Source organism: Homo sapiens, chromosome 7 (genome assembly GCF_000001405.40).
Source record: "Homo sapiens chromosome 7, GRCh38.p14 Primary Assembly".
Lineage (NCBI taxonomy): Eukaryota > Metazoa > Chordata > Mammalia > Primates > Hominidae > Homo > Homo sapiens.
The window spans coordinates 39,742,811-39,768,067 of record NC_000007.14 but is presented as its reverse complement, the minus strand read 5'-3'; the positions used below and the strand labels follow the sequence as shown (position 1 = coordinate 39,768,067).

The 25,257-nt window shown below is 44.0% G+C and overlaps 1 long non-coding RNA gene across 1 annotated transcript in view, besides 2 other annotated features; it reads right to left on the bottom strand.

Moving 5' to 3' along the window:
* LINC00265 (long intergenic non-protein coding RNA 265) overlaps window positions 1–25,257 on the bottom strand; it is a 61,056-nt gene that overhangs the window by 26,556 nt on the left and 9,243 nt on the right. Inside the window, exon 2 of the long non-coding RNA NR_026999.1 lies at window positions 398–664. This is a non-coding gene — a long non-coding RNA (long intergenic non-protein coding RNA 265). The remainder of the gene's footprint in view (window positions 1–397; window positions 665–25,257) is intronic.
* Window positions 13,248–13,915: an enhancer, noted in NCBI's record as "H3K4me1 hESC enhancer chr7:39793752-39794419 (GRCh37/hg19 assembly coordinates)". NCBI's record gives its function as "activates a minimal SCP1, AML or CMV promoter by ChIP-STARR-seq in primed H9 embryonic stem cells {active_cell/tissue: H9 hESC(primed)}" and the evidence as "EXISTENCE:reporter gene assay evidence [ECO:0000049][PMID:30033119]".
* Window positions 17,522–18,359: an enhancer, noted in NCBI's record as "NANOG hESC enhancer chr7:39789308-39790145 (GRCh37/hg19 assembly coordinates)". NCBI's record gives its function as "activates a minimal SCP1, AML or CMV promoter by ChIP-STARR-seq in naive H9 embryonic stem cells {active_cell/tissue: H9 hESC(naive)}" and the evidence as "EXISTENCE:reporter gene assay evidence [ECO:0000049][PMID:30033119]".

Sequence of the window (25,257 nt, the reverse complement as noted above, 5' to 3'; positions counted from 1 at the left end):
CAAAATCCACACATACTCAAGTTTTTGAAGTCAGTCCTGTGGAATCCACATATTTAAAAAAATACGAAAATTAGTGAGGTGTGGTGACAAGTACCTGTAGTCCCAGCTACTTGTGAGGCTGAGGGAGGAGGACTGCTTGAGCCCAGGAGATTGAGGCTGCAGTGAGCCATAACTGCACCACTGCAGTCCAGTCTGGGCAACAGAGTGAGACAGAAGGTTGACTTTTTAATCAAATTTTTCTGTTCACTTGAAGATATGGTCAGGACTGTGGCATAGGAAATTCTTCATAAAATAACTATCTAATCCAATTTATGCTGGAATTAGGGACAGAAAATGTTTTGGTGACTATTTATTCCTTCACTTGCTGTTATATAAACTATTGCCAGTGGGCACTTACCAACCAGAAGTATCATCTCAGAGCTATTCACAATGAAAGGTGATCTCTGCGGCTCAAATGTGTTGAGGTCCCCATGCCTGGGCTATGGGTGCTGAGTGGGATTTACTTGTCCATCCATTTTCTATATTCCAGCACTGGGAAACTAGGGTTTATCCATCTTGATAAGATGTCATTTAAATTCCGCTTGGCAAGAACCACAAATGGAAGAAAGGCCATGAAACCACAGGACAGTACTTGTTCTCAAGGGAATCTTCAGCTTAGGTGACTCTGTAAAAGAGAAATTACATTGTTGAAAAATCATCACAGGTCAGTTAAGGTGGCTCATACCTATAATCCCAGCCCACTGGGAGACTAAGGCAGGAGAATCCCCTGAGGCCAGGAGTTCCAGACCAGCCTGGGCAACACAGTGAAACCTCATCTCTACAAAAAATTAGAAAATGAGCTGGGTGTGATAACACATTCCTATAGTCCCAGCTACTCTGGAGGCTGAAATAGGAGGATTGCTTGAGCCCAGGAAGTGGAAGCTGCAGTGAGCTCTGATCTCACCACTGCACTCCAGCCTGGGTGACAGAGTGAGACCCTGTCTCAACATACACACACCCACACACACCCTCATCTCAGTCTGTCCAGCCTTGACTAATCAAAAAAAAAAAGGGTCTTCTGGTTACAGAAGAGGTATGCTCTTTTGTAGGACAGGGAGAGACCTGCAAGCTTGTTCACAGACTTTTCCTCATCCTTTGCTTAGTTTTCCAAGAACTCTCATAGTGGAAACAGAGTCCCTGGGAAAACGACCTAAATCTTTAGGTTACCAGAAGAGAAATATGCGTCCTTTGTCAATTAATAAATGGAACACTTGCCTTAAAATCCAGGGAGTTCTGCTAGAATGAATCACTCCCTAAGACCCTGACCTATGCATGGAACATGAAAAACTGGAGTTTAACTGGGCACAGTGGATCATGCCTGTAATCCCAGCACTTTGGGAGGCCGAGGCAGGTGGATCACCTGAGGTCGAACCTGGCCAACATGGTGAAACCTCGTCTCTACTAAAAATAAAAAAATTAGCTGGGCGTGGTGGTGGATGCCTGTAATCCCAGCTACTTGGGAGGCTGAGGCAGGAAAATTGCTTGAATCTGGAAGGCAGAGGTTGCAGTTACTTCTAGAAGAATTTCCATTAGCCGTTTGAAATCCTTCAACATTCATTAAGGCCAAAGAGTTTTCACCTAATTTAATCTGATGGGTATGTGACCAGAGTCTTTCTAGGGAATAGAGACTCCCAAACTGTTCAGCTGGGAAGTGAGGAGATAATTTATTACTCAAAATCAAAGGGAAATGAAAAGAGGCCAATGCAGAATGTCATTATTCTTTTTTCGGGGGAAATGAATTCCAGAGTCATTTTGTGACCTTTATATGACCTCCTTATTAGCATCTAAAAGCTTCCAATGTAGGATGCAGCCAGCTAGGTTCTCTTCTAATGTAATAAAATCTACTTCAGCAAAGCTTATGCAGAGCCATCTCCAGACTCCAGAAATACTAGGCTATAAATTACTGGATCTCCCATTTGATATAATGAACTATAAGCACAGTCCTGAATGACTCCTCTACATACTACTCTGCGTGGCTTGAAGTGAATTTGATACAAGAACTGGAGCGAGCACAAAGCAGAGCTAGATCTAGGATTAATGAACTTGGGCCCAGCTCCTCACTACTCACCGATGAGTCCAGTTCCAGAACCCAAGTAGAGGGTGGGGAAACAAGGCTCCTGGCATTTCCCAATGTCTGCATCTCTTTCACATTTCTTATCTCCTTGCAAAGAAACTAAACAGGCTCGACTGAAATAACTAAATGATTAAACCCTATGCAGAGAATCTCCAAAGATTCACAAAATATCATTCAAGACTGTTACACAGACAACCCTGAGGATGACTTGATGTACCAGTGATCTACAATATTTGGGATCATTCCAAATTCCCATGAAGGATCTGCCTATATCAACACGGGAGCCAAGGACTAACCATTCAAATGGGCCCTGCTGCCAAGCCTTTTTTTTTGTTTTTGTTTTTTTTGTTTTTTTTTTTACAATGCCATCTCTTCATATTGTTCTGTTTAACAAAACTGCAGCCTGTCACCCATCCTTAAGTCCCTTGGCCAATGGTACAGAGCCAGAGTATGCTACTCCCTAGGAGGAAATCAGCAGGATGACCTACTAAACACCATTCAGAAGATGCTAAGACCCATTAATTGCAACAGGAAAGAAAAGACAGAGAATTAGTCAGACAGGTACATGCTGTGCCAAAAATGCACTACAACCCCCACCCAATTCTGCCTAATCCTAGCTAGGCTGACACCAACCTGATGAGACAGGCCTATAAGATCTCAAACTAAAACAGAAACTCTTGAACCAGGTTCTTGCGAACCCAGGAAGCAGCAGTAAACCATTAAAGAACAGATAAGTTCTTGAGGTGAAGAAGAGTTTCAGATAAATGGAATGCTGGTAGAACACAGGGCCCAAAGGAGCAAAAGTTAACCTAAGCCTAGGTAGAACCTTCTTTACTAGAGTATTAGGCATGGGTTGTGGCAACTATTCTAACCAAAGAGGCTCCACTGAGGGCGGGTTGGCAATCCAAGGTATAGCATGCATAGGGCTGGTGAAATTCAGGGTGACTGAAACAAAAGCTTCAGAACCAGAAAGACCACATCTGGGGGTAGAGCACAAAACTCTCAAGAGATGAATCTTTGTAAGAGTGAGGCAGAACTATATAGCAGTTTTAGGAGATCTGTTGGTGCCCAGCAAGAGCTCCAAACGGGCTATATGCAGGGATGCAGGCTGTAGTTTCAGAAGAGAAGGTTCACAAAAGTCATTCAGTCCAAGATCCCAAACTGCGTTCTCTACTAAAAGGAATCAAGGCCTCCTAGAGAAATGGCTGACTCCATGTATGGAACAGTATATTGATCCTGGAACATCTTTTTTGCCAGAAAGCAAGGAAGCCATCAAAGTCCAACAGGATCACATCAAAAAGACGTAAGAGTCAACTTGAAGAGATAATTATTAACCTAGATGAGACAATGTAAGCATCCAAAACAATAAAGACTGCAATGGCCTGAAATACATCAAATGCAAACAATAATCTACGAGTTCATAATGGTATTCAGAAAAAAAAAAACTATTGGTCACTAGAGTGAAGGTTAGTAGGTCACTAACTTATTACTCTGAAAAGTGACTTAAAGTGAGAGGTTAGGTGGAGAATTAGCTATTTTTTCAGTTTTTCCTGTACAAACATAAATTTTTAGGGAGATTGAAGCAGATGAAACAAATCTGGAAAAATGGAGGTAACTGCTTAATCTGCGGGTTGGGTACATGAAGGTTCATCATATTTCTTTTGTGTATATTTGAACCCCCTACAAAAAAAAAGCACAAGACAGAATGTGAGCCAAGCAGCTTAGGGTTTAGGCAGGGCTTCTGCCTACAAGAGACACTAGGATATGAGGAGTAGTTTTAGCCCTGATGGGCTGAGCCAACTGGAGGTATATAAGGAGGTGCTAAATTGCAGAGGTATCATGTTGCCCAGCACTTGATCAAATCCTAGATCCTAGGTCTGCTTGGTAGCATGCTTCCTAGATGGTGGATCTGAGGCTACCTACAGAACTTCGTTTGCAGTCATAATTCGCTCAGAAACTACAAAAGTGCTTGCTCTTGAAAATGGAGCCTGTCTTTGTCCATTTCATGCTGCTATAAAAGAATGCCACAGACTGCATAATTTACAAGAAGGAAAAAAGGAAGGAGGGAAGGAGGGAAGGAGGAAAGGAAGGGAAGGAATGGAAGGAAGGGAAGGAAAGAAAGGAAGGGAAGGAAGGGAAAGAGGGAAAGAGGGAAGGAGGAAGGGAGAGAAGGAGGTAGGGAGAGAGAGAGGGAGGGAGGGGAAGGCAAGAGAAGGGAGGAGCAGGGAATGGAGGAAGAAAAGGAAAGAAAAGAAAAGAAAAGGAACAAATTTTATTTCTTACAGTTCTGGATGTCAGGAAGTCCAAGGTTGAGAGGGCTGCATCTGGTAGGGATCTTCTTGCTGTGTAGAGGAAGACTATCTTCCTCTACACATCATCCCACAACAGCAGGCAGAAGGACAAGAGACTGCAAGAAAGCAAGAGGGCAAAAGGGGCTGAACTCTGTTTTATAATAAGCCCACTCTGTGATTACTAATCTATTACCACAATAACAACATTAACTCATTCATGAGGGCCCTCTTATTAGGCCCCACATCCCAACTGTTGCATTGAGGACTGAGTTTCCAGCACATAAACTTTGGGGGACACATTTAAACCATAGCAGAGCACTTATGTTAATTCAACCAAGAGGAGCTGGGAAAATCAAAGGCAAGAGAAAGACAGCAAATGCTGGCAAAGAAATATGTGCCGGTTAAGGACAAAAGTCACAATGAATCCTGTAGTGCAGGCTACTTCATCAAAAGCACCTAAAAAAGATCTCATTAACTCCCCCAACTCACCTCCACCCACATCTAAAGGGCCACACACAGCACTACAAAAGGCAGCACAATGAGAACAGCATTCTCCTCAACAGATGCGCTGTGAGTACCCAGACACCCGACCTCAACAGCTCCAGAACAGCCCTAAAATAGCTCCTCCCTAACCACCACTCGAGTCACCAGCTGGGAAAATATTCAGAAAACCCAAATCCTGACACACCACTATGAAACAACTTAAACAGCAAAGAACAACCCATTTAAACAGCAATGCCAGCGGCTGGGAAAAAAGGAACAATGAGTAGAGGAAAAGCAGACTTCTTGGGGTCCACTAAGACCCAGTCTCTCAGCTTCAGCACTTTCAAATGCAGAATCCATACACCTCTGGGGCCTGTGGAGCTCCACGAGGCATGTTGTCCTCAAAGATAAATGAACAGGCAAGCTGGCTAGAAAACCGCTAAGGGTATTATTCTTTAAAGAATCTTTATAGGGTCAAAGAGGAATGGGTCTTACAGCCGATGTGTATTCCCCACAGATTCTGAGGATGATGTCAGTATCTCTTTCCAGATGTGTTTAACACTTTGTGGTCGCTTGTATTCCTGCCACTGAGTGCCAGTGCTTTGCTAATTTGAACTGATTCCAACTCACGCTGACCCTGGCTCCCTGAATCTGGCTACCATTAGCCAAGACTGTCATCTATACTGTACCCTTTTAAAGAGTCCTAAAAACAACTCTTCACCTACTCTTCCAAGACAAGTAAAAATGTCTGCCAAAGAAATGGGGAAAAAAGATTGAGAGAGAGAAAACAATTAACATACTAACAAGAGAGTAGAAAGAGAAGCGGGAGGAGAAACTAGGAAAATCATATGTGGGCTCACACCTATTTCCAAAGCTTATGTAGGGGATCAGTCAGGATGGTGGGAAAAATTGTAAAATAAACACAAACCTTCTTGGAAAGCTGGAAGGTTTTTGCAAAAGCCTCAGGATAGAGATATGGCTGAAGGCAGCCTAATCCTCCTTGAGCTACAGCAAGGATAATTAACATAGGAATATAGAGGAGTCTATCTAAATAGCTTGTTTACTCATGTGGTCCTAAGACAAACCTTTGACCATCCGCGGGTGCATGATTGCTCTCTACTCGGGGGTCGGCAATGGTAATTACCTTCTAGTGGTGTTTACTTGATACTTATGTCATTTAACGTGTGGTGTATAAATGCCGGGAGGGCCAGCAAGTTGGGACCATGGTTACAACTCTTTACAGCACTCTTCTGGGAGTCTGTAAGTGGGCCAGACTCTCAGCTGGACTGACATGCATAATATCTGTGTCAGTGTATGTTATTCATCTGTTGTTGGACAGGGTCTGTGGGATGGACACCCGCAGCAGGGCAGTGATTTTTACCCCTAGTGCAATTGGTTCCTACTGCTATGTGCTTTCTCCATTGGCTGGGGTTGGACCGCACAGTCTAAACTGACCCAATTGGCTAATGTTTGAAATTGAACACAGCTATCTAGGTGGGAAGGGAAAGGCTATTCGTTATAGCACAAGGCACGTCTAGGCTTGTCAGGGCACGGCAAGGGTGGGAAGGATTGTTTACCACACATGGGTAACTACAGAAACTAGAGAAACAAAGAATGGGAAGAACAGGGAATTAAAACCTTTTGAAGAGGAATTTATCATCTCTGACAATTTCCTTCTCTTGATTTTATAGTTTGTTTTTCCTCTTCAAAACGTCTCAGCATATCTTGGCTCTGTTCTTCTTGGGCGTCTAGAAGGATGAGTTTATCTGAATAAGGCAGGGGTGAACTAAGGGAGGTTTTGGTAAAGCTGTTTCTATAAATGTTTGCATTAAACCACGAATACAGAATATGATACAGCATCCTACAAGAATATACCTATAATGATTACAAGGGAGGTGAATATTGAGGTCATAATTCCTTTCCATTTCTCAAACCATTTTTCCATGAGGCTTGTAAAGGGGTCATTTATTCCAGAATTTTTAGCTAACTCATTTGATAAGGAGGTAAGGCCTTGTAAGGCTTTTGTATTGTTCCATCAGGGGCAGTGTTATTAGGAATAAAAGTACAACATTGGACTCCAATCATGACACAAACCCTGCCTTTTTCAGCTAATATCATGTCAAGGGCTATTCTATTTTCCCAGGCCATTTGGCTGGTAGGGCCTAATTGTTCAACTATTCCTTTAATAGCATCTCTAGTATAATTAACAAAGTGTTGTTAATTATAAAAGATATAATTTATCTTCTAAGCTACATTCTTGTTTACAGTTGACAACCAGAACAATATGGACTCGAATCCTGCAGCTATTTGATTTCTGTCTTTGAATTCATCTGGTACCCCTAGTGGTACTCCGACAGCATCTATATAAACATGAGGATCAAAGGATCGGTGAGAGACATCTCTCTTTTTACAATATTCTGTTTTCAACTTTCTTGGTTGATGAAATGCCAAGGTGAAAGGGATAGCCAATTGAACTGGCTGCTCCAGTTACTTGTTAGAGTACCCAGCAATAGTCTCCCGCAATACCACCAAACATTTGCTCGGGGATGAACAAGGGCAGACTGATCAGTAAGCTCTTGAAAAGGCTTCGTTTCACTGCACCCTGTTAAGTCTCCAAGGAAGGCTAACTTTTCCCCCTGCCATGAAAGGCATGAGGTGAAGTTAACATCAGGGGCTGGAGGCTGGATGGTCCTCAGGGGCTGACCCGCAGGGCTCTTGACCTCAGGGAACAGCAGTGAAAGAGTCTTGCATGACTCATCGCCTTAGACTGTGGGGTTCTGGAAGAGAGCTCGGACCATACAGCTCATGCCTGGTCTGTGAAAGGACCACCTCACGAGTGGAAAGGGGACAATTTGGGTCTCTGGCCTGCCTGTCACACAAGCATAACAGTCGCTTTTGTTTAGCGTGTGAACAGAATATTTAATCCATTCCAGCCAAGCATTTGTGTCCTGCTACCCTGTTTCAATGGCTATAATTTGTTTTAAATCTTTAACCTCTATAACAGCTACTTTCAGTTTATCATTGGGTATACAACGAGAAAAGGTTTGGTTAGTGGAGAACTTAGGAGAGGGAGAAGGGGGTACAGGAGGTAGGGAAGCAATGAAGTGCATTTCAAAGGATCCTGCGGGGTCCTTCCCTGAGACTTCTGCTCCTATACCACAGAAATGGCTTAATGAAGGGGAAGAACTCTGGGGAGCAGGGATGGTAATCTGTGCTGGATTACATTGGTTCAGCTGACAATTGGGAGGGGTAATTCCTTTAGTAAAATGAATATATGGCTTTAAGAAACTGCAAGTACCAGTTGGGGTGGTCCATTCTTGCTCTTTAGTATTTCATCAAACATTGAACCAACTTCGGCAGAGAAGATCTGCTCTAAGAGGACAAGATTTCCAGTTCATACTGAAGTCTTCATCAAACTCTTCCCAAACTAACTTATCCCGATTAACAAATGCCCAATCTGAGGAAAGCCAGGAAGGATGGAGATACTTTTCTGAAGAAGAGAGTTGCTTTTGACTTGACAACTCTCCACAGGGTATAACAAGGCAAGCATCAAAGGTAATAGTTTGGGGTGAGCTTGACTTGGTTACATTAATGATAAGGGGACTAGGGATGGGGTAGGGGGAGGAAATAAATACAGAATAAGAGGGTTAAACCCTCTTTAGCCTTAGCTTGGTAAGAGTTGGTCCTGGAACAAGGGTCCATGATTCTGGGAAGGGTGGTGCCCGCTTAACTTGAGTGTGATGAGTCCAGCCCTTCTTGGCAGTCCAAACTGCTGTATCAGTTGTTAAGAGCACTAAATAAGGTCCTTCCCAAGTGGGCTCAAGCTTCCCTTCTTTCCAACTCCTGATGAGGATGTGATCTCTAGGCTGGTGGTAGTGAACTGGAAACTCAAGAGTTGGAGTCTGGGCTAGAATGCCTTGAGTCCTAAGGGAGAAGAGGGCAGAAGACAGATCTAATATATAGTTTTTGAGAAATTGAGTGAGGGCTTTCCCACTCAAAGGCAAATAGGTCCCGGCTGTCCTCTGCTAACAAACAAGTCCAGAAGGCATCTTTTAAATGTACTACTGTAAACTACTTGTGGCTGTATGGGATCCTACTGATAATAGTATAAGGATTGGGAACAACAGGGAGTGCAGTTTGGACTATCTGATTAATAGCTCTAAGGTCTTGCACTAACCAGTATGACCTGTCTGGCTCCTTTACAGGCAGTATTGGAGTGTTATAGGGCGACATTCAGGGTTCAAGAAGCCCATCACGGAGAAGACCTTAAATTATAGGTTTTAAATTTACTCTGCCTTCTAAAGGAATAGGGTATTGCTTTCTCTTTACTACTTCCCCAGGGGTATTTAATTTAACATGAATCAGAGGAATCTGTAACTTTCCTCATCCCATCTTTTGACCATATCTTGGGATGAATGTGTTCTTTGTCTGCGGTGGTGAGCAAGTTTAGGGAGGAGTGGAATTTCCCATGATCGATTTGGAGGCCTAAGCCTAATTTTAGCATTAAATCTCTTCCTAATAGATTTGCTCCTGCTTCCAGAATAAACAGAAATTTGATACTAGCTGATTGGTTTTTATATTTAACTTCTGTCTCCTACTTACTGGTTCCTTCTCTAAATCCGTATTTTCATTTCTGGGTGTTATGACTCCTCCCATCTCTCTCAGCCTCTATGTCCCAGCCAGGACAAAGCACTCTTAGTTGGTCTGGCAGAGAGGAGCTGAGCTGCTGGCAGGAGTGCGCTGATAGTGCTAGAAGGCCCTGACCGAAGCCAGCCACACCTTTGCAAGGACTCTGGCTGCTATAAACATGTGGCTGGGCTGAAGTGGAAAACACTGGGCACAAGAGCCCTCCAGAGTGGTCCCTTGTCCAACCAGTCCCAGCTACCCAGCTTACATCCGAACTTGCCCTTTTTCCTCTTTCCTCACCAGCTTCACAGTCACGCCGGGATGGGGTAAAATGACAAGCTTTTATCTACTTTAAGCAGTCATGCCACACTGCCAACAGTTTTCAAAGCATTATAGCCTTCAAAGAGATCCTTCCTTCCTTTCCTAATTTTAAGTTTCCAAGCTTCACTTTTTGGTGTTCTTTATATGGCCTGGAAAGTGGGGGCCTAGGCTCTTTTTAGGTTCTGGCCCCCTGAGTACTTTGTTGTATGGTGGACAGCAGAATTTTTGCCTTCTGTTTTTGTTTTCCTTTGTCCCTTCTTACATACTCTTTTTGAGCCTCCCTAAGAAATTCACTCACGGGACAGTGTGGAAGATCAGTCAGTATGGCAGAAGAAATTATAGGAATAGAAAGAAGCAAACCTTGTTGGAAGGCCAGGAAGTTTGGCATAACTTCAGATAGTTTGGCTGAAGGCAGCCAAATCCTCTTTTCAGGAGCCAGAGAGCTTAGGGCGCAGATACATAGGAATGTGGAGAAGTTTATCTAAAGAGCTTGTTTACTCATGTGGTCCTACAACTAACATTTGATCACTCAAGGGCGGGATAGCTCTCCTGGGGTGGGGGCGACCAGATTAATTACCCACAGGTGTGTTGACTCAAAGCCTTTGTCATTAAAACTGTGCCAAATAAATGCCCACAGGGACAGCTAATTGGGGCTGTGGCTGCTGATTCTTTACACCACCTTCCTTGGTGTCTGTGAGCAGCTCGGATCCCTAGAGGCACTTTCACTGAATATCGGTGTCTGGGTACATTATTCATCCATCATGCGAGCTGGGGCCTGCAGGACAGACCCTCCACAGGATGGTCTTTCCAATTTTCCATCTTTTGTAATTTCTTTGAAATATCTGGCCAACTGTTAACAACAAAATGAAGTTTTAACATTCCCCATCCAAGAGGATCCTCAGGATCTAGATCAGCATACTGTCTCATTTGTTCCTTCGATCTGTCTAAAAATTCTATAGGCCCTTCATCTTGCCCATGCTGTATATCAAATGCTCGGGTAAGGTTCTGGATTTGGGGTACTGATTCTTTAATCCCTTTTATTATCATTTCCCTAAGGTCTTGCATATGTAGTGGGCTGCATTGTTATTTTCCCACTGGGGGTCTTTGGTGGGGAATTTTTGATCTGCTGCAGGAACGTTTTGGCCAGGAGGGTGTTCACATTATCAGACCACCATAGCAGCTCTACGGATCATGCTTCTTTCTTCCCCTGAGAAGAGGATGCCTAGGATGAACATTAGCTCAGTCCAAGTATTAACTCAAAAGAATGCAACCTTTGTCTCTCACCTATCTGTGACCTGGAAGCCACATCCTACTTCCAGTTTTCCTCCCTTTGCTTTGAGTTGTCCTGCCTTTCCAGATCGAACCAATGTACTTCTTACATATATTGACTGATGTTTCATGTCTCCCTAAAATGTACAAAACCAAGCTGTGCCCCGACTACCTTGGGCACATGTCATCAGGACTTCCTGAGGCTGTGTCATGGGTGCATCCTCAACCTTGGCAAAATAAACTTTCTAAATTAACTGAGACCTATCTCAGATTTTCTGGGTTTACAACATAATAAAGATTTATGGAAGAGTTTTGGGAACAGTATAAAGAATTGCTATATACCCTTTACTCAAGTTCCCCAGTTATTAAATTTTTAGCCCGTTTGCTTTGTCATTCTTTCTCTTGCCCTCCTACTTTCTATATCTATTATCTGGTGTGTGTGTGTGTGTGTGTGTGTGTGTGTGTGTGTGTGTGTGTGTAATGTAATTGTTCCTGAACCATGGGCAAATAAGTTGCAGATGTGATGACCCTACATGTCTAAATACTTCAGTGTTACCTAAAATAAGAACATTAACCACAATAAAAATTATCAAACTCAAGATATTAACACTGATACAATAATATCAACTAATCTACAGATCTTAAATTTCACCCATTTTCCTGATAATATCTTTTATAGGAAAAGAAAACCACAGATTATTAATTGCATTCTATTATCATTTCTCTTTAGAGACTGCTGGATTCCCCTCCATAAGGTTATAACATTTGGCATTTCCCACCAACAATTAAGTTTTTAATACTCTGGGTTTAATTTGTGTCATGCATTTTTTCCCTGAACCAATGACTGTCATCTGGGGAAAGAGGCTGTGCTGGTGAGCTTAGCCTCACTCACTTTCTACTCCCTAGGAGGCTGTAGATGGATTCAGGTTCACCTGAAGCAAGTGGGCTCAGACAGGGAGGGTGATTCCCCAAAGCAAAATTGGGGTACTATTTCTACAGAATAGAGCTGAGTGAAAACCACCACCACCAATATCCAATAAGCTGGTTCATGGATGCCCAACTTGCATCTATACAACAAAACAACAGATGCCTCTGATACTTGGCTAAAGAGAGACAGTGAAATTGGAACTAGAGCACAGGTAGAGTCCAATCTAATTCTTTCATTTTCATGCAGTAAATATTTTAGTTTCTTTTTTTTTTAATTCATAGCACGACTTTTTTTTTTTCTTTTGAAGCAGGGTCTCACTCTGTTGCCCAGCAGGCTGGAGTGCAGTGGTGAGATCATGGCTCACTGTAGCCTCAACTTCCCCAGGTTCACATGATCCTCCCACCTCAGCCTCCCTAGTAGCTGGGACTACAAGCATGCACCAGCATGCCCAGCTAATTTTTTTGTATTTTTTGTAGAGTTGGGGTTTTGCCATGTTGCTCTGGCTGGTCTTGAACTGCTGGGCTCAAGTGATCCTCCCACCTCGGCCTCCCAAAGTGCTGAAATTATAGGCATGACCCACTGCACTCAGCCATAGCACAACTCTTAAGAGAAAGATTTCAGTCTATCTACTGCCTGTCATTTTTTGGTTTTTAATTTAGTTAATTCTCACAGCAGCTCTAGGTAGCAGGAAACTGTACATTTATCCCACTTCTGAAAAGTCTGTACTAAGGCAGACACTTGAAATAATTCTACTAAATGTGCTCAGCTAAATAAAATAAACTTAAACCCAGGTTTTTGTTCCAAACAATAGGTTTTGTGAAATTGTGATCTTTCTAGAAGAACTTAGATATGATTTTTCCTCTCAGTTTCTCTTTTTAAAAAAATCTTAAGAATTTTCATTGTTAGCATGTTTATTTTTCTGCCTTTTCCAATGAGAGAGTTTCCATCTTTCTCAGAAACTGGAGGGCTCTAGTGGAGAGTGATGATGTGTCATCGTTTCACATTTCCTCTCACGCTCGTTTTTCTCCTGGTTGTAAAGCTTCTAAATGATTGATTGCCATCTTAACAGATTTGAGGCCAGTCAGGGTCTCCTGCTCTCAGCACTGTGTTCTGGGGCAGTTTGTTTAAGCCCAGGAGTATTAATGCTCCCAGATAAGTCTGCACCAGGACAAACTGAGTTCTTATATTAGATCCAAAGTGTATTTGAGAAAGCATTCACTGAACCTAAGTGCTCAGTGTACTTTGAAGCACACGTTTGTTTCCCTTAGTCATTAAGCCTCAAAAAGTCCTACCATTCCTTGAGGCAGGAATGCACTCTTTTTAAATTTTCTATTCAGCAGAATGAGAAATGTCTAAAAATAGAAATCCCACTTAATGATTTAAGTCTGTCTCCATCCTTACTCAACAACTAGGCAAATATTAAACAAAAAGAGCCCCAGTGCTGGCCTGCCGGCAGCTTTCCCTTCTGTGAGTTGAAACTGGGAAAGCGCAGGGAGGTATTGAAGTACAAGGGGAGGTGGAATGAGCATTGGTGGTGGAGGCAGTGAGAGGTGACAGCATGCTGGCAGCCCTCGCTCGCTCTCGGTGCCTCCTCCGCCTCGGGGCCCATTCTGGCGTGCTTGAGAAGCCCTTCAGCCCCCTGCTGCACCGTGGGAGCACTTCTCTGGGCTGGCCAAGGCCGGAGCCGACTCCCTCGGCTTGCGGAGATGTGTGGAAGGAGAGGCACGGGTAGGAACCGGGGCTGCGCCCGGGGCTTGCAGGCCAGCTAGAGTTCCAGGTGGGCGTGGGCTTGGCGGGCCCCGCACTCGGAGCGGCGGGCCGGCCCTGCCGGCCCAGGCAGTGAGGGGCTTAGCAGCCAGGCCAGCAGCTGTGGAGGGTGCGCCGGGTGCCCCAGCAGTGCTGGCCCACCGGCGCTGCACTTGATTTCTCGCTGGGCCTTAGCTGCCTCCCCGCGGGACCTGCAGCCTGCCATGTCTGAGTCTCCCCCAACACCGCCGTGGGCTCCTGGGCAGCCTGAGCCTCCCTGATGAGCACTGCCCCCTGCTCCATGGCGTCCGGTCCCATCGACCACCCAAGGGCTAAGGAGTGCGGGCACACGGCCCGGGACTGGCTGGCAGCTCCACCTGCGGCCCAGGTGCGAGATCCACTGGGTGAGGCCAGTTGGGCTCTTGAGTCTAGTGGGGACTTGGAGAACCTTTGTGTCTAGTTAAGGGATTGTGAGTGCATCAATCAGCACTCTGTGTCTAGTTCAAGGTTTGTGAACACACCAATCAGCACCCTGTGTTTAGTTCCGGGTTTGTGGATGCACCAATGGGCACTCTATCTAGCTAACCTGGTGGGGACTTGGAGAATTTTTATGTCTAGCTAAGGGATTGTGAATGCACCAATTGGCACTCTGTATCTAGCTCAAGGTTTGTAAATGTACCAATCAGCACTCTGTGTCTAGCTCAGGGTTTGTAAATACACCAATTGACACTCTATCTAGTTAATCTAGTGGGGACATGGAGAACTTTTGTGTCTAGCTCAGGGATTGTAAACGCACCAATCAGCACCCTGTCAAAACAGACAAATCAGCTTTCTGTAAAACAGACCAATCGGCTCTCTGTAAAATGGACCAATCAGCAGCATGTGGGTGGGGCCAGATAAGAGAATAAAAGCAGGCTGCTGGAGCCAGTGATGGCAACCCGCTTGGGTCCTCTTTTACGCTGTGGAAGCTTTGTTTTTTCGCTCTTTGCAATAAATCTTGCTGCTGCTCACTCTTTGGGTCCATACTGCCTTTGTGAGCTATAACACTCACTGCGAAGGTCTGCAGCTTCACTCGAGACCACGAACCCACCAGAAGGAAGAAACTCCAAACACATCCAAACATCAGAAGGAACAAACTCCAGACATGCCGCCTTTAAGAACTGTAATACTCACTGCCAGGGACCGTGGCTTCATTCTTGAAGTCAGTGAGACCAAGAACCCACCAATTCCGGACACCAAGGACCCCTTGGCTGTAACCTCAGCCAAGCCACTTACACTTTGTGGGGCTTAGACCATGATATCCAAGAAAAATACTTCAGAATTTATTTATTTATTATTATTATTTTTTGAGACAGAGTCTTACTCTGTTGCCCAGGCTGGAGTGCAGTGGTGCAATCTCAGCTCAGCGCAACCTCTACCTCCCGGGTTTAAGTGATTCTCCTGTCTCAGCCTCCCGAGTAGCTGGGATTACAGGCACACGCCACCACACCCGGCTAGTTCTTGTACTTTTAGTAGAGATGGGGTTTTGCCATGTTCGCCAAGCTGGTCTGCAATTCCTGACCTCAGTTGATCTGCCCACCTCAGCCTCCCCAAATGCTAGGATTACAGGCGTGAGCCACTGCAAATACTTCAGGATTTAATACAAAAGTCATAATTCTCCCCATATTGACAATCCCAAAAGGAAGAGTCTTCCTGAGAGAACTACCATAACTTAGTAAAATTATAATTTAGATTCTTCCAGATAGTAGTCATTTGTATAAATTTCCTTAATATGATAATAGAGCCAATCCCTCAGATACATTCTTCTGTTTTGTCTGCCTGCAGGAGAAAAGAAGGCATGTTCCTAGTAAAGGTGCTCTGTTCACTGAGCACAAGGTAAACTCAAGCCCATTTCTTTAAAGATCTTGTGCAAACTATGAGAGACAAGTCTTTATAAAAGAAAAGGGGGGAGAGGAAGATGAATTATTCCTTTAAAAACAACTCATCTGACTTTGAAATGGGAGGGTATGAGAAAGTCATTAGAGGCTTTTGAGTGATGCTGGCTACTTTTCCAGAAAACTCCTTGCCCCAAAGTAAATAGCAATTATGTGTTGGAACACATATTTTGCCTACATTCTATATATATATAATTGGATTAAAATGTAGAAGAATTTTGAAATAAAACAGAATGGGACAAAATAGTCCCTAAGCTCTCTTAAAAAACAAACAGTCAAAATCAATTTTCTGCATTCCAATTGGCAACTCTGGATGCTGTCATTGAAAAACAGAAGAAAAAAAAAATTTTTTTTTTTGAGATAGAGTCTTGCTCTGTTGCCCTGGTTGGAGTGCAATGGCGCAATCTTGGCTTACTGCAACCTCCTCCTCCCAGGTTCAAGCAGTTCTCCCCCTCTGCCTCCTGAGTAGCTGGGATTATAGGCGCCCACCACCACGCCCAGCTAATTTTTGTATTTTTAGTAGAGATGGGGTTTCACCATGTTGGTCAGGCTGGTCTTGAACTGCTGACCTCAAGTGATCCACCCGCCTCAGCCTCCCAAAGTGCTGGGATTACAGGCATGAGTCACCTTGCCTGGCAGAAGAATGATTTTTGATTTATGGCCTCCAAGTCTGAATGCTTGGCCTCCAGGTCTTTTAATTAAGAAATATTTCACAATGTATATCCATCATTTTGTAAAAGGCAAACAATAAGTCTAATGATCTCTGTTAACGTAACTTAGTCTAGATAATACACTCAATCAGCTCCTTGTCCCTCCCAAAATCAAAGTAAAATAATCTAACCACCAGGGAAGGTCTTAGAGATACTCTTGTTAGAGAATATTCATTCATTCATTTGAATGTTTATTGAGAGCCTGTGAGCATGTGGAAATGAGCCAAAACACTGGCTAGGTGCGGTTGCTCACACCTGTAATCCCAGCAATTTGGGAGGCTGAGGAGGTCGGATGGATCCCTTGAGCTCAGGAGTTTGAGAGCAGCCTGGGCAACATAGCAAAAACCCGTCTCTACCAAAAATACAAAATTAGCTGGCCATGGTGATGCACACCTGTAGTCCTAGCTACTCAGGAGGCTGAGGTCGGAGGATTACCGGAGCCCAGGAGGTGAAGGCTAGAGTGAGCTGTGATCGCACTATTGTACTCCAGCCTGGGTGACAGAGTGAGACCCTGTTTCAAAAAATAAATAAATAAAAATATTTTTTAAAAGGAGTGTTTTCTCTAGGTTCTCATTAAAATTAAAAAAGAAAAGGAGATGAGCCAAAAGAAAGGTCCTGATCTCATGAAGCTGGCTCTTATGAGGAGAGACTCATAATAAACAAATACCTCTATAACGTCAGCTTAGGATAAGTGCCACAAAGAAAAATAGCTCAACATAACATAACAGTGCAAAGAGCAGCTAGGGAGAACATGTTCTGTTTAAGTAGGAAGATCAGGGAAGACCTCTCCCCACCAGGGTGACATTTGATCAAAGACCTGAACGAAGTGAGGGAGTGAAACGTGAGGTCACCTAGAGTAGGGGTTGGCAAACTTCTTCTGTAAGAAGCCAGACAATAAATATTTTGGCTTTGTGGGCCATACAATCTCTGTTGCAGCTACTCAACTCCGTCCTTGTAGCAGGAAACCAGCCATGGATAACATAAATAAGTGTGGCTGTGTTCCAATGATCTCTTATTTTATGAATGGTAGAATTTGAATTTCATGTAATTTTCATGTATCACAAAATATTATTTTTCTTTTTTTCCCAATCATTAAAAATTGTAAAAAATATTGTTAGCTCAGAAGCTGTACAAAATAGCCTGTGGGTTGCATTTGACCCATGGACCATAGTTTGCTGATTCTTGATCTTAAGCAAACACATTCCAGGAGAAGCAGCAATTCCAGCCTGGATGGGGAACATGCATGACTTGATGACAGAAAACAAAAGAAAGGTCCATCCCGAAACATCAGTTAGTAGTCATTATGGAAGACAGCCCACTACACTCATTCCAAATGATTTTTACCTAACTTCCCAACTTCTAACTTTCTAGCTAACAACTTGTTGTATATTGAGCACCCGTTGAAAGACAGACACCATGTTCCAGAGAGATGGGCGGATTGGGAGAAACATCTTAGAGGAAGTAGGTATTGAACTGGTTTGGCTTTGAAAAAAATGAACAAGATACCAACAGGTGAGTCTGTTGGAGAAAGACTATTCTAGTTAGAGGAATAACCTGAATAAAGGCATGAAAGTGGGAGAGTTCCATGGTGCAGGCTAGAGATTCTTGTAATCCCCATCAAGTATTGGGTGTATGTTGCATATCCTAACACTTTGAAAAGCAAGCCCTAAACAATGGTACTCAAACCCTTGCCTGCATCAGAATAGCCTGGAGGACTTGTTAAGCCGACTTGTTTGTTAAGCCAACTTTCTAGACCATTCCCCCAGGGTTTCTGATTCAGTAGATCTGGGGGAACACCAGAGATCTGGGGGAAAACCAGAGAATTTGCATTCCTAATAAGTTCCCAGGTGGTTCGGATGCTGCAGACCCTGGAAGCACACTTTAAAGAGCCACTGCCCCACAGGGTTGGCTGCTACAGAGGAAGAGTGGGCTCTAGCAAGCTTATATTGCCTACTTTCAAAGTGAGGGTGATACCTCAGAAGTTTGCCTGAGATCAGCTATAAAACATAATAGTGCCAGGTCCATCCTAGGCTTGCTTGTGCATGAATTCTCTTCCTGTCCTGTAGTCTTTCCTGCAACTTCTAAGCCTTTCCCAGAAGGACTTAAAATTTGTAAATGCATTTCATGTGGTGCTTCTGCTTCTAGATTATTTTAAAAAGTCATAGTGACATGTTTGCCATCAATAACAAAAAAAGCAATAATACGGAGTGGTGTACATCACACCAAGCATTCAGAGAATCCTATGATGTCATCAAAGGGACAAAATAATTGGAGACATTTTGAAAATGACTCATACAGTGAGTTTGTGTATCCTCCTCATAAGTTAAAGGCCAAGATTAAACTCAAGCTCTCCAGCAGCTAAACATATCATAATAAAACTTCCCATTTGCAGGTACTACTGATTTTTTTTCTTATTCATTCTTTTAGAGTGACAGAGCAGCACATATTTCTTTAAAATCCTTGACTTGCATCAAATTTCCAGTGATTGAAAGGCAAGCAGTAGAAAGACCAATATGCCCCGAAAGAAATAGGTTTTGGCAAGCTGGGCATGGTGGCTCATGCTTGTAATCCCAGCACTTTGGGAGGCGGGAGAATCACTTGAGCACAGGAGTTCGAGACCAGCCTGGGTAACATAGCAAGACCTCATCTCTACATATATTAAAAGGAAAAAGAAGGGGGAAAAATAGGTTCTGGCCAGGTGTGGTGGCTCATGCCTGTAATCCCAGCACTTTGGGAGTCTGAGTGGGAGGATCACTTGAGCCCAGGAGTTTGAGACCAGCCTGGGCAATATAGCAAGACCCCATCTCTCTATATAAAAAATAATTAATTAAAAAATAACAAAATTAAAGCAAAAAAGAGATAAGTTTTTAAAACTCATCTGGCCTGGAAACCACCAGGCCAGATGTGGTGGCACCCACATCTGTAGTCCCAGCCACTCAGGAGGCTGAGATAGGAGGATCACTTGAGTCCAGGAGTTCAAGGCTGCAGTGAGCTATGATGGTGCCTGTGAATAGCCAATGCACTCCAGCCTGGGCAACATAGTGAGACTCTGGTTCTTGAAAAAATAAATTAATTAATATTAAATCCAACTAAATATATGGAGCAAAAAATCAAAGTTTGAATTCAGATCAGTTTGATGGTTTGCTGAGCTTGTTGCTGACTAGTCTCTTCTAAGGGATAAGGCCCTGTCTACAGACTAAGGTTGGTACCACACGACCCTGTTCTCCATAGCTATGGCTTATTGGGCACTTGATCCAAGGGTGGCCTATATCAGACTGGCCAGCAATCTATGATGTGGCATGTCTTAGAAACCTGAGCTGGGCCAATCAGATTCCTCATTGAGGAACTGATAGTTAGGAAATAGAGGGAGACTGGGCTAATTCACCATTAGAGCTAGCAAAAGTCTCCTGTGGGCCATGTGCAACTCATGAGTATGAAGAGGCTTAGCCATAAAGGGAGGAGGACAGAATGGACAGATTCACAAGAAAGCAGCAGAGAGGCTGTGAGCAAGAGAGCCTGTGACCACTGGGGGAAAGGAACAGACTGGTTCTGGATGATTCTGTAGTTCCAGTGCACATGTGTCCTTAAAGTCAGCTCCCTTTTCCTTGAAATATAACTAACTCATGTGGGTTTCTTTCCTCAACCAAAGAGACTTAATGCAAACCAGCAGCTCTTTTTCAATTAGAAAAATTGACTATTAACTATCATTGTTTCTAATTAGAAAAGCAAGCAAAAACTACGTTATTTTAATACATTCCAGCTTATATACAGAAAAAAATATAGTTTAGTAGCAAGTGTGGATCTGGGTTTTGTGGGGCCTGAAGTTTATACAGATTACAGATACAGATCTTTTAGAAAAGAATGCCAAATTATAGGTAAAAAATAGGTAGAGGGTCCAGGAGGGGCCTGTGAAAGTCAGGAGCCTTGAACCTGAGCTTCACTAACTGCATGGTAAATTCAGCTCTGTTTAGAAGAAAGAACATGATCCTAAGGCTAATGTGGCCTTAGGCACTTTTTAAATTTAAATAACAACATTTAACTTAAATAAAAAGTGGACCCCAGAAAATTACATACTGTTCCCATACTTTGGTTGAATGCTTTTTAAGCTATCGCAAATGAACTTTTCTTGGCCAGCATCAGTACTTTTAAAAGGATGAAATAAAATGGAATAGAAAGGAAAGCCTCAGGGTGCATTGTATGATGTAAGGATGACTATTGTAGTGTGAGACTTTTGTTTCCATTTTATAAATATATAAGTCAGTGATTCGCAAACTCTTTGGTCTTAGAATCCTTTGTTCTCTTAAAATATACAGAGGACTATTATTGTTATTGTTTTTAGAGACCGGGTCTCACTCTGTCACCCAGGCTGGAGTGCAGTGGTGTGATCATAGCTCACTGTAGCCTCCATGTCCTGTGCTCAAGTGATCCTCCCACTTCAGCCTCTCAAATAGCTGGGACCACAGGTGCTTGCCACCATGCCTGGCTAATTTTTTCTTTTTTGTGTGTGCGGAAACTGGGTCTTGCCCAGGCAGGTCTCAAGCTCCTGGCCTCCAATGATCCTCTTGCTTCACCCTCCCAAAGTGTTGGAATTACAGGCATGAGCCACCACATCTGGCCCAGAGGAGAATTATTTAAGGTTAGCACCTAGAGTTAAAAAAAATACACACATACACACACAGACACACACACACACACACACACACACACACACACACACACACGGCCCCAAAATGTTTTTGTTTATGTGAGATATATATGTTGATATTTACTGTATTAAAAATTAAAACTAAGGCCAGGCACAGTGGCTCATGCCTGTAATCTCAGCACTTTGGGAGGCTGAGGCAGGTGGATCACCTGAGATCAGGAGTTGGAGACCAGCCTGGCCAACATGCTGAAACCCCATCTCTATGAAAAACACACAAAAAAACTAGCTGGGCGTGGTGGTGCATGCTGGGAGGCGGAGGTTGCAGTGAGCTGAGATCACACCACTGCATTCTAGCCTGAGCAACCGAGGGAGACTCTGTCTCAAAAAAAAAAAAAATTAAATTAAAACTAAGAATTAAACGTATATATATTTATTAATTGTTGTTGTTTTTTAGAGAGTGGAATAGTAAAATCACAAGAAGTGAAGACATTTAAGGAGGCATCGAAACCCCTCAAATATAAGAGAATCACATTTCTTTCTGACATTGGAAAGGCTCTTTTTCTCAACACTTAATGTGGGGAGGATCTGATTAACACAACAGGAGAAAAAGAGTGAAAGAACTATGTTGCCAGGAGGTGGCGCCTGCATGCAGCTGGGAGCCAGGAGGAAAATGACGGGGCAGAGAGGCAGCCTTCCTGAGATGAGAGGTTCCCAAAGGATGCTGGCAGCAAGGAAACTTCAGGGCGAGGGCGGGGGATCTTCCTGGCCCAACAGCAGATCAGAAAACGGAAGAACAGCTTTTTTCCATCCCTCACTACCGCCCCAGCATAAGCAAGTGGTTTTCAAATTCCTTGGGGTGCACAAGAATCACTGAAGATGTGTTGAAAATGTAAATGTGATGATAGGGTCCACATCAAGATTTAGAGCTGCAAAGTCTGCATTCTAGGAAGCTTCCCAGAGGATCCTGTTGTACGTGTGGTCCTCAGACCACAGCCATAATTATTTTAGGAGAAATGAGCAAACTTTACAGCCCTAGGTTTGCATGTAAAAAAACTGACATCAAATCTCACCTCTCAGTTGACAAAGGGCTTTCACATCTAAGGTCTTATTTAAGATGCAGAATTACCCTTTTATACATGTGGCAACCGAGTAGCCTGAGCCAGCCCGCAACCAGAACCCTCAGCTTTCAAATCCAGTGCCCTTGCCTTAGCCCCAGGCAGCATCTCCAGGGCCCCTGGTCAACGAGGATACCCGGCTTGGATTACCTTGGTGGTTCTCAAAACATGGTCCCTGGACTAGAATCACCTGGAACTTGTTAAAGCATAATTTAGGGGGCCCCCTTCTAGACCTGCTGAATCAGAGACTCAGGGGTGGGCCCAGCATCTTGTGTTTAATAAGCCTGCCCAGTGATGCTGAAGATGTAGGCTGAAGTGCTGGGTTACCTTGGCCAGACCCTGGAACCTAAGTCATCCTCAGCATCCAGATCCTCGGGGCATACTGCCAAATGGAGCCAGCCGTTGGACAAATCATGGCGGGTGGAGGGGGGTGGAGGAGTGGACTAGGCAGGGCTTGTTTCTAAACCTTTCCCTGTGGTCAGGCATAAACCAGTGCCTTGGGGCCCATGTTTTCTGCTTCTCTGCCTGGACACACTGTGCCCATATTTCCACCCTGCCCCCCGGGAAATTGAACTGATATCAGATAAATGTGTATCTGACTCAGCCCCACCCCTTCTCTTCTGCAGGCCATATAGTTGCTGCTGACCTTCAGCTCCAACCCCTGCTCAGGTCTTGGCACAAACTGGCCCTAAGAGGGAGGGCTTGAAGGAGCACCAGCCCCACCCTTGGGGAAGTAACTCATCTTCCTCATCTGCCTGCCTGGGTCTCTGCTGCTGGCCAACACATGCTTCTAATAGTGGCTGTTTGGCTCTTGAAAGCTGAGAATTCCCTGCCCCCACTTAGAGGTACCTGATACCTTGTCTTGTCTGCAGAGCCAGGCTCACACATCTCCTTGGTGACATCTTTCCAATTATGCATCCCACCCTCTTTACAGGAAAAGTGAGCAAGTTCTTCCTTTGGGCTCCTGTGACACCTTCAGCTTACCTCACAGCATTCACCTCACTCTATTATAATTCTTTATTTACTCTCTGAAGTTCTTTTTGGATTCCTGGCCCCAGGCAGAGCTCAGTAAATGTTCCTCATGTGGGATGAATGTTCGATTTCCTCCTAATCACCGGATGAGATCAGTGCACTGCCTTTTATGTATCTGGATTCCTGCTACCTGGAGAGGCAATGCAGGAGCTCAACAAATGAGGGTGACCATGAAGGTGGGAAGAGAACCAGAGCAGGCATTATTGCCTCCTGGGTCTTTCCCACACTGGGTTGAAAGCTTTAGACCCTTCCTGCACTCTCTCTTCCTTTTACCTTTTTAGGAACCAGTGTCATGTCCCTGGAACCTTGCTCTGCAAACCTTGGCTGCCAAATCTTGCAAACTATTGAGAGAATAGCAGAAAGGATTCTGAATAAGGAGATCAAATAATTTATCGCTCAAACTGTGACACTTTGGAGAGTGAACGGGGCAGTATTAATGACAACAGGCGGCCGGGCGCGGTGGTTCACACCTGTAATCCAGAACTTTGGGAGGCCAAGGTGGGTGGATCACGAGGTCAGGAGATCGAGACCATCCTGGCTAACATGGTGAAACCCCGTCTCTACTAAAAAAAAAAAAAAATACAAAAAAAATTAGCCGGGCGTGGTGGCGGGCTCCTGTAGTCCCAACTACTCATGAGGCTGAGGCAGGAGAACGGCGTGAACCATGGAGGGGGAGCTTGCAGTGAGCCGAGATTGTGCCACTGCACTCCAGCCTGGGCGACAGAGTGAGACTTGGTCTCAAAAAAAAAAAAAAAAAAAGACAACAGGCATAAATAGGAGTGTCACAGGCAAATTGGGAGACATGGACACCCTATCTCTGAGCCACGGAGTGGCTTGGCCCACCTGTGTTCAGGAGCTAAGTTTGGCTCAGCTGGGCCCAGGTAGAAGCGGAACTGCAGACAGTGAAAGAGGTCTCATGGCTGAGGCAGACAGCATTTTTCCATGAAAACTAGTGCCAAATTTTGAACTATGGGCAGGCCAGAATAATGAAATCTCAAAGGTCACCCCCAGCTGCCTCAGGAATGTCTTCATTTTGGGCAAGTCCTCTACCTTCTCAATGGGCCCCACAGTTAGAGCCCCCTACCTCCAGCATGTCCAGATGTTGAGGGACCTCAGGAAGTCACCGACCTAGTTACAATCCTCAACCTGTCTGGCCTTTGTCTAAAAATCATTTTCAGATGCTCTATCTCTTTTGGGCCACACAATGGCTTTCCGGGAGGAGAGTGCTTGGAATGATGGGACATCAGGACACCCGTCACAGAAACACATGACACAGCAGAGTGAATAAAAGGACTTCTGTGTGAGTAAGCATCCCCTTCCCCACACTGGGCAGTATTTTACATGATTAAATGTAATCATGCTTACCATTTATTTTCTTACTGCACCAAATTAGAGGGTGAAATTATCCTCATAACTAAAGGATTCCCCAGATTACAAAAGGATCTCTTTAAGAAGCAGCTTCTCCTGTGTATATTTATAGATCTTTAAATGCTCAGCAGAGGGAGAAAGTAAAAGCTGAAGGATTCCAAGTCGCTGCTTATTAAATATTGTTAAAAATTAAGATGAAGCGAATCTTGGCTGGGCACGATGGCTCATGCCTGTATTCCCAGCAATTTGGGAGGCCAAGGCGGGTGGATCACCTGAGGCCAGGAGTTCGAGACCAGCCTGCCCAACATAGAGAAACCCCATCTCTAGTATAAATCCAATGTCTTGCTGATGTTCCAAATACAAAAATTAGCCAGGTGTGGTGGTGTGCACCTATAAGCCCAGCTACTCGGGAGGCTGAGGCAGGAGAATCGCTTGAACCTGGGAGGTAGAGGTTGCAGTGAGCCAAGATTGTGCTACTGCACTCCAGCCTTGGTGACAAAGTGAGACTCTGTCAAAAAAAAAAAAAGCAGTGAATTTGAAATTATGAGGTTAAAGTGTATTTTCCTATGTTTAGCTTTAAAGGGTCATTTCACCAGTAACGTTTTCTTTCCTACCTTACTGGGTAGGAAGCTAAAGTGCCAGACGTCCAGCTCAATACTGGACCCAGAGAGCATGA